The sequence below is a fragment of the Homo sapiens genome, chromosome 2, assembly GCF_000001405.40.
Source record: "Homo sapiens chromosome 2, GRCh38.p14 Primary Assembly".
Classification (NCBI taxonomy): domain Eukaryota; kingdom Metazoa; phylum Chordata; class Mammalia; order Primates; family Hominidae; genus Homo; species Homo sapiens.
Window position 1 is genome coordinate 13,958,379 of NC_000002.12, and position 9,638 is coordinate 13,968,016.

General features: G+C 30.5%; 1 annotated feature.

Annotated features, from left to right (window-relative positions):
* Positions 8,828–8,997: an enhancer, noted in NCBI's record as "experimental_52900 CRE fragment used in MPRA reporter constructs". NCBI's record gives its function as "activates a minimal promoter by MPRAs in K562 erythroleukemia cells, with activity observed for both the introgressed and non-introgressed 2:14107416 variant alleles {active_cell/tissue: K562}" and the evidence as "EXISTENCE:reporter gene assay evidence [ECO:0000049][PMID:34662402]".

Here is a 9,638-nt window from a genome sequence, read left to right on the forward strand (position 1 = left end):
AAAGCCTGGACTTCACCACTATGCACTATATCCATGTAAGAAAATTGCCCTTGGCCCCTTTAATTTCAACAAATACAAAATTAAATAGGGCCGGTCGTGGTGGCTCACGCCTGTAATCCCAGCACTTTGAGAGGCCAAGTCGGGCGGATCACCTGAGGTCAGGAGTTAAAGATCAGCCTGGCCAACACGGTGAAACCCCATCTCCACTAAAAATACAAAAATGAGCTGGGCATGGTGGTGCACACCTGTAATCCCAGCTTCTACGGAGGCTGACGCAGGAAAATCGCCTGAATCCAGGAGACAGAGGTTGCAGTGAGCCGAGATAGCACCACTGCACTCTAGCCTGGGTGACAGAATGAGACTCTGTCTCAAAAAAAAAACACTTAAATAATATTTATAATGCTATAAATATATCTCAATGAACTGTTTTAGCTTCATTTAACAATTTTTGTTTTGTTGCATTTTTATTTATTATAGCTGATCTTATTTTCTTATTTCCCTTGTGATTTATTTTCAACATGAGTTGTTTAAAATATATGGTTTTATTTCATGTTACAGAATTTTCTTTCTCTTACTAACTGATAGTTTAAGTGTATTCAGAGAACATACTGAAAATAATACCAATTATGTTAAATGTATTTTGTTTTACAGACCAACAAGTTATCTGTATTTTTGTATATTCTATATGCATGTAAAAATGTATATTCTTTGTTGTTAAGTGAAATATTTATAAATGTCAATTATTTTAAGTTGATTGATACTATGGCTTATGTCTTTGCTATTGTTATTGATTTTGTCTATTGTCCTGTCAAGGAATCTTGAAACCTTCAACTATAATTCTGGGTTTCCTTATTTTTTCCTTTTATTTGCATCATTTCTTGCTTCAAGTATTTTAAATCTATGTCAGTAAGTACATGTAGAGTTAGAATGATTATACCTTTACTTTGTCATTGTAAAATGTTCTTTTAATCATTGGTGATATTTCCTTTTCTGAAATATATTTTCTTCTAATCTTAATATAGCCATCCCAATGTAGTTTGATTAGTGTTTCTATAGTGGTTTTATTTTCATATTTTCATTTATAATCTATCTACACCTTTATGTATAAAGTAGAATTATTTTACGGATAATACAGTCTGACAATCTCTGCTTTATAATAGAAAGCTTAAATTATTTCATTACTTATTTATTGAGCATAAATTTACCATCTTTCCATTATTATTTATTTATTTATTTATTTTTTGGGCCCAATCTCATTTTGTTCCTTTACCCTTCTCGTATTGCTTTCTTTGGGGCTGAGTATATATCTATATTTCATTTTGTATATTATCTTATTAACTATAATTTTATATTTTTCTAGCATTTAATATATTATGTCTTATCATAGTTTAACTTAAATAACATTATGTAACTTTAGGATTTCAGGCATAATAGAAAAACTTACAACGCTATTATTACAACCTCTTTCACCTTGTTTGAGTCATTGATACATTTATTTTACTTCTATATATTATATAAAAGCTACAGTGCATTGTAATTGATTTTGCTTGAAAAAGCATTGTTTGTTCCTTTCATTTCTTTATTGTGGGGAAATACACATCATATTTACTGTCTTAACTATTTTCAAGTTTGTAGTTCAGTGGTATTAAGTACATAGGTAGGAATGTTTTAACTGCTGGGACTTAAGTTTATAAAATGGAGAAAACAACATATGTATCATAGAGTTGTGGGAGAATAAAAAGAAAATATGTCAAATCTTTAGCATTTTATTTATTATTATTATTGTTATTATTATTATTTTGAGATAGAGTTTCACTCTTGTCACCTGGGTTGGAGTGCAATGGCACAATCTCGGCTCCCTGCAACCTCTGCCTCCTGGGTTCAAGTGATTCTCCTGCCTCAGCCTCCCGAATAGCTGGGAGTACAGGAGCTTGCCATCATGGCCAGCTAATTTTTTTAAGCATTTTATTAAGCTGGTATGATTTTTATTCACCCAATGACAGGTACTAAAATTATAGACACAATGCCTAAAATAAAATGCTCATCATTTTAGTTTCTAAACTATTATTAAGACTATCACAAAATTTTCTTTGACTACTTTTTCTCAGTTTTGAGCTCCTAGCATTTTTAATTTTATGATTTATATGAAATATAGTATAAATGCCTTGACATATTTTGTATGATTGTCTAATATTATTTTATTTAATGTGTATATATCTTGTCTCTGTATCTAGTTATTGAGTTCAAATACAAATTGATTGTAATCTTACTTTGCATAGCTATAATCCTCTGAATGATATCTAATAACGTATTTCTCAAAGTGTTTTTCTGGAAACACCAGTCCCTGGTGAGGCTTTCTCTGAAAGAGATTCTGTAGTCAAATCTAAGTTTAGCAAGTTTTATGTGCTGTGAGTTTTATAGGTTCATAACATTTGTTAACTGATTAAAACTTTTGGCATACAGCTGTCCTTATAAGTAATGGAATCTCATGATTTATGGGCTTTTTAAATTGTTTCATTGTTTTCATAATTTATACATTTTATTAAGTTAATAAAACTAATTTTATAAGTAATATAACAAACTATTTTATTTTGCCTCTCCAAATGTACCAAAAAATTGTATTTTGATTCAAAGATCTTACTTGACATTAAGCTAAAAACCATATATCCTTTGATAATAAACTTACCTTCTAGTTTACCACTTTACTTAACATTAGGAGAGGCAAAGAAGGAGAAGGTAAAGCAGGATAAGAGCAATTTCCTCTTTATGGGAGACTCTGTGTTATATGTAAAATTAGTGTTTATTGGATTGAATGTAAATATTTACTGTATGCAATCTATCACATTATAAAGCAACACATAGAAAATGTGTTTTTCTAAGGGTTTCATTTTGCTACTGTTATGTAATTAGCAATGTCCTCAACAGTGTCACTGCAGTATCGTTACAATCAGCAACATTAATGATGACTCTATGTATAAACTGAAAACACTACACCAGTGCACAGTTCACTTAAAGCAAAGAGACTAGCTTTTATGGTATTACTTTCTATACGTATAGTTGATTCATAATTTTATGTGATATAATAAAAATATACTATATTGGACAAAGAAAAGCTTGATTTGCCATTTTTCAGTTATGTGACCTTGACTAGTTTACTTAACTCTACTCATAGGTTTCAATTTCCACATCTACTAAGTCATGGAGTTGGATTTCACCTGTAATTCTTCATTAAAGCCAAATACCAAGAAACTGGCCATAGTGAAAATGAATAGTTATGCCAAAATAGGGTCTAATCTAAACCATCATTGGCAAAGGTAGCTTTTTGTTGGTAGTATTACTTGATTGAGGTAATTAGTCATAAGAAGTAAATATGAAAGGTACTTAAATTTAAATAACTTGAAATTTTGGGTATTATATGTCTTCAGTATGTGACATGGATACATATGCTGGCAACTTAAAATTTTACCTCATTTTTATTGACATATAATAGATGTTACATATTTGGGGATACATGTGATAATTGAATGCATTCATATAATTATAAATATTTGTATTTTCTTTATGCTAGAAACCTTCAAATTATTCTCTTCTAGCTATTCTAAAATATGCAATAGATTATTGTAAAATATAGTCACCCTACTGATTTATCCAATACTAGGTCTTATTTTTTCTGTCAAACTATATTTGTTTACCCATTAGACAACCTCTCTTCATCTGCGTCTCCCCCCAATCTTTCTAACCTCTAGTAACTACCAGTCTACTCTCTACCTTCATGAGATCCACTTTTTTAGCTCCCACATATGAGTGAGAGCATGCAATGTTTCTTTCTTTGCTTAGTTTATTTATAACAACTTCTAGTTCTTTTATATTGCTGAAAATGATAGGATTTCATTCTTTTTATGACTGAATAATATTTTGTATATATATATACATATATATGTATATATATTTATATATATTTTGTATATATGTGTGTGTATATATATATATTACATATTTTTTATGCATTCACCCATTGATGAACATGTAGGCTGATTTCATATTTTGGTTATTGTGAATAGTGCTGCAATAAACATGGGAGTGCAGATAATTTCTTCAACATATTGATTTTGTTCCTTTTAGATACTTATGTAATAGTGGAATTGCTGGATCATATGGTAGCTTTATTCTTAATATTTAAAGAAAGCTCCATACAGTTTTCCACAGTGGCCATAATAATTTACATTTCCACCAAAAGTGTATGAGTGTTCCCCTTTTATCACATCCTCGCCAGCATCTGCTAGCTCCTGTCTTTTTAATAGAAACCATTTTAACTGAGATGAGATGATATCTCATTGTGGTTTTGATTTACATTTCTCTGATGATTAGTGATGTTGAGCATTTTTCATATACCTATCAGCTATTTATATGTCTTCTTTTGCAAAATATTTATTCAGATCATTTTTTCATTAAGTTATCAAATTATTTGGGTTTTGCTATTGAGTTGTCTGAGTTCCTTACATATTTTGGTTATTAATCCCTTGTCAGATGAATAGTTTGCAAATATTTTCTCCCATTTTGTAGGATGTTTCTTCATCTGATGATTGTTTCCTTTGCTGTGCAAAATTTTTTGGGATATAATTTCATTTGCCTATATTTATTTTTGTTGACTGTGCTTTTGCAGTTTATCCATAAAATCTTTGCCTAGACCAGTGGCCTGAAGTGTTTCCCCTATGTTTTCTTCTAGAAGTTTCATAAATAGGGGTGTAACATTAAGTTATTTAATCCATTGTGGTTTGATTTTTGCATATAGTGAGATATAAGAGTCTAGTTTCAGTCTTCTGCATATAGTTATCCAGTTTCGCAGTACCATTTATTAAAGAGATATTTCCATTCTATTGTATGTTTGTGATGCCTTTGTCAAATATCAGTTGGCTGTAAGTTTGTGGATTTGTTTCTGAACTTTTTATTATTTTCCTGCGGCCTATGTATCTGTGCTTAGTCCAGTACCATGCTGATTTGGCTATTATGGGTTCTTTTCCATATAAATTTAAAAATTGTTTTTCCTATTTCTGTGAAGAAAGTCATTGGTATTTTGATAGAAATTTCATGGAATCTGTAAGTTGCTTTGAATTGTGTTATCATAATAACTGTATTAATTCTTCTAATTCATGAACATAGAATATCTTATCATTTTTTGCATGTCCTGCTTAATTTCTTTCGTTGATGTTTTATAGTTTTGCTTGTACAGACATTTCACTTCTTTGATTAAATTGATCCCTAGGTATTTTATACTATTTGTAGCTGTTGTAAATAAGATTGTTTTTATGATTTCTTTTTCAGATTGTTTGCTGTTGATGTATATAAATGGTATTGATTTTTGTACGTTGATTTTTAATTCTGTAACTTTATTGAATTTCTATATCATTTCTAAGAGTTTTTGCTGGAGCTTTTTCTAAGTATAAGATCATGTCATCCAAACAAGGCTAATTTGACTTTTTCCTTTACAATTTGGATGCTCTTTATTTCTTTCTCTTTTCTAATCGCTCTGGCCAGACTTCTAGTAATATGTTAAATAAAAGTGGTGAAAGTGAGCATCCTTGTCTTGTTCCAGATCTTAGAAGAAAGGCTTTCAATTTTACCCCACCTGACATGTTGGTATAGTTGCGAGTTTGTCAATATGTTATTTATTATTTTGAGATTTGTTCCTTCTCTACCCTGTTTGTTGAGGATTTTTATCATTAAGTGATGTTGAATTTTATTGAATGCTTTTTCAGCATCTATTGAAATAAACATATGGGTTTGTTATTGGTTTTGTTACCATAATGTATCAAGTTTATTAGTCTGCATATGCACCATCCTTGCATCCCTAAGATGAATTCGATTTGATCATGGTAAGTGATTTTTTTAGTGTTTTGTTGAATTCAGTTTGATAGTATTTTGTTGAGGATATTTACATCTATGTTCAATCAGTGATATTGACTTGTAGTTTTCATTTTTTGTTGTATCCTTATTTGGTTTTGGTATCAGGGTAATACTGACCTACTAAAACAAGTTTGGAAGTATTCCCTCCTCCTCATTGTTTTCTTGAAGAGTTTGAGTTGAATTTGTATTCGTTATTTTAATATATAGTAGAATTCAGCAGTGAAGACATTAGATTGTGAGCTTTTCCTTGCTGGGAGACATTTTATTACAGTTTTGATCTTGTTACTCATTATTTTTGAGGTTTGTTTAGGTCTTCTATTTCTTTACAGTTTAATCTTGGTAAGTTGTATGTGTTTAGGATTTCATAAATTTCTCCTAGGTTTTCAAATTTGTTGATATACAGTTGTTTTTAATAGTCTCTAGTGATTCTTTGTATTTTTGTCGTCTTGTTTTCTGTGTCTCCTTTTTCAATCTGATGTTATTTATTTTGGTTTTCTCTCTTTTTTTTTTCTTAGCTTATCTACCAAATATTGACTCCTTTATTATTATAATATACTGATATTCTTTGTCTCTTTTTACAGTATTTGATTTGTGTCCCATTTTATCTGTTATAAGTACAGCTACTCCTTCTCTTTTTTGGTTTCCAGTTGCATAAAGCATTTTTTCTCACCCCTGCATTTTCAGTCTCTGTGTGTCACTACAGGTGAAATAAGCTCCTTATAGGTAGCATATAGTTGGATCCTGTTTCTTTATTTGGCCACTCTATGCCTTTTAATTAGAGAACTGAGTCAATTTATATTCAGTGTTATTATTAATAAATGAGGACTTTCTACTGCTTTTTTGTTTCTTGTTTTCTGGTTGTTTGTAACTCTTCTCTACTCGATTATTCATCCTTTGTGGTTAGGTGATTTCTCTGGTAGTACATTTTATTTTGTCGCTTTTTATTTTCAGTGAATCTACTATAGTTTTTGCGTTGTTGTTACCATGAGGCTTATAAAATTCATCTTATAGCTATAACACATTATATTAAAGAAATGAAAACTTAGATTACCAAGAAAAGGATAAAAACAATGGACAAATTGAAGAAAAAAATCTGCACTGTAACTCATATCCCCTCACATTTAGACTTTTTATGTTGCCTAATTTTATGTATTTGTATATTGCCTATCTCTTAACTGATTGCTGTAGCTATTGTTGTTTTTGATAGACTTGTCTTGTGGGCTTATTTCCAGAGTTATGAGCAGATTGCAGGCCACAATTATACTACTAGAGTATTCTGGGTTTTCCTGTGTTCTTAAGTTTACCAGTAGGCTTTATACCTTCAAATATTTTCTTTTTTCATAATAGTCCCATATGATCCTTTTTTATTTTCAAGGGATACATTGTAATGCCTCCTCTTTGCTTCTTTTATTTAGAATTTTATTTATTTGAGTCTTCTATGTTTTTTTCTTATTTAGCCTAAGTGTTGACTTATTTTGTTTATTAAATAAACTATTAATTTACTTGTTTTTTTAACACTTTATTCTTTATTTTATTTACTTCTCCTCTAGTATTTATAATTCCCTTCCTTATCCTCACTTCAGGCTTCATTTGTCCTTCTTTTTCTAGTTCCGTGAGCTATAAAGTTAGATTGCTTATTTGAGATTTTTTTTTAAGGAGGCATTTCTCACTACAACTTTTACTCTTCATATTGCTTTTGCTGAATCACTAACATTTGGGTATGCTATGTTTCCATTTTTATTTGTTAAACTTTAGAAGGGAAAAAACACAATGGGAAAAAATAGTGTCGTCAGTAAGTGGTGCTGGGAAAACAAACATTTGCATGTAAAAACGAAATCAAACGCTTATTTCACATTTTATACAAAAATGAATTCAAGATGAATTCAAGATATAAATGTAAGACCTGAAACTGTAAAATCTGTGGGAAAAAACATAAAGAAGAAATTTCCTAGCATTGATCTGGGCAATAATTTCTATATAGTACACCAAACACTCAGGAAACAAAGGCAAAAATGGACACTGGATTGGATCAAGCTAAAAAGTTTCTGCGCATCAAAGGAAAAAATAAAGAGAGTCAACCTGCAGAATGAGAGAAAATATTTGCAAGCCACATATCTCATAAGGGGTTACTATTCAAAATATGTAAGGAACTCCTACAACTAAATATCAACAGAATGATAATAATAGTCTGGTTGTAAAATAGGCAAATGTCTAGATAGAAATTTTTAGAAGAAATATTTATGACCAACAGGTAGATGAAAGGTGCTCGCTATCACTAATCATCAAGGAACTGCAAATCAAAATCACAATGAAATATCAATTCACACCTGTTCGAGTGGCTACTAACAGAAAGATGAAAGATAAGTGTTGGCAAGGATATGCAGTAAGAGGAATCCTTGTACACTATTGCTGGGCATTCAAAATGGTTCAGCCAGTATACAAAACAGTATGGAAGTTTCTAAAAAAATTTAAAATAGAAACACGTTATAATCTAACAACTATAATTAGGGTATATTTCCAAAGAAAATATGATCAAGATGTAAGAGACATCCACATCCTCATGTTCATTTTAGTATTATTCATAGTAGCCAAGAAATTAAAAAACCTAAATGCTCAACAATGGATAAATAAATATATGAAGAAAACTGGGCATATATATTAGCATTCCATTGTGTATACACACACACACACACACACACACACACACACAGACACATGAAATAAGATTAATGGGCCTTTAAAAAATGAAGGAAATCATCCCATCTGCACAATAAATCCTTGTGGAAGATGTTATGGTAAGTCTTCTGAGCTGGCAGACATTATGCTAAGTGAAATAAGATAAATGTAGAAAGACAAATACTGCATGATCTCACTTATATGTGCAATCTAAAATAATTAAATTCATAGAAACATAGTAGAATGGCGGTTACCAGAAGCTGAAGGAAGGGACAAATGGTCGCTTCAAGGTGGGACAAAGATGTTGGTCAAGGTGAGGTGTACAAAGTTTCGGTTTTGCAAAATGAAGAAGTTCTAGATATCTAATTGTAAAACAATATTACTACAGTTAACGATATTGTATTGTATATTTGAAATTTGCTAAGCCAGTACATCTTATGTGTTCATAACACACACATTCACACAAACATGCACAGAATATAGTAACTATGTGAGACATGAAATTACAGATATGTTAATTAGCTTGATTGTGGTAAACATTTCCCAACGTAAAGATACATCAAGTCACCAAATTGTGAACCTTAAATATATATAATTTTTAGTTGTCAACTGCACTTCAATAAAACTGGACAAAAGTCAATTTTTTAATTAAAAGATTAAAAAAATTAATTTCTATCATATATTTGCCATTTCCAGTGCTCCTCATTCTTTCCTGTAGTTATTTCCCTGTTTAGTTCCAATGTTCTACCTGAACTATCTTTAACATTTTTTTTAATATAGCGGGTCTATCAACAGTGAATTCATGTGTCTGAAAAAAAATGCTCATTTTTCTTCAGTTTTAGTATAAGTTTTCACTGGTGAGAAATTCTAGTTTGGCAGAGTTTCCCCCTTCCCCCAGCACTTTAAATATGTCTTTGTCTTCTGGCTTGCAGAATTTTTGACAAGAAATCTGTGGAAATTTGCAATTTTCTTCCTCTCTAAATAATTTGTCTTTTAAAAATCAGGCTGCTTTTCAGATTTTAACCTTCATCTCTATTGTTTAAACATTTTTAATATGA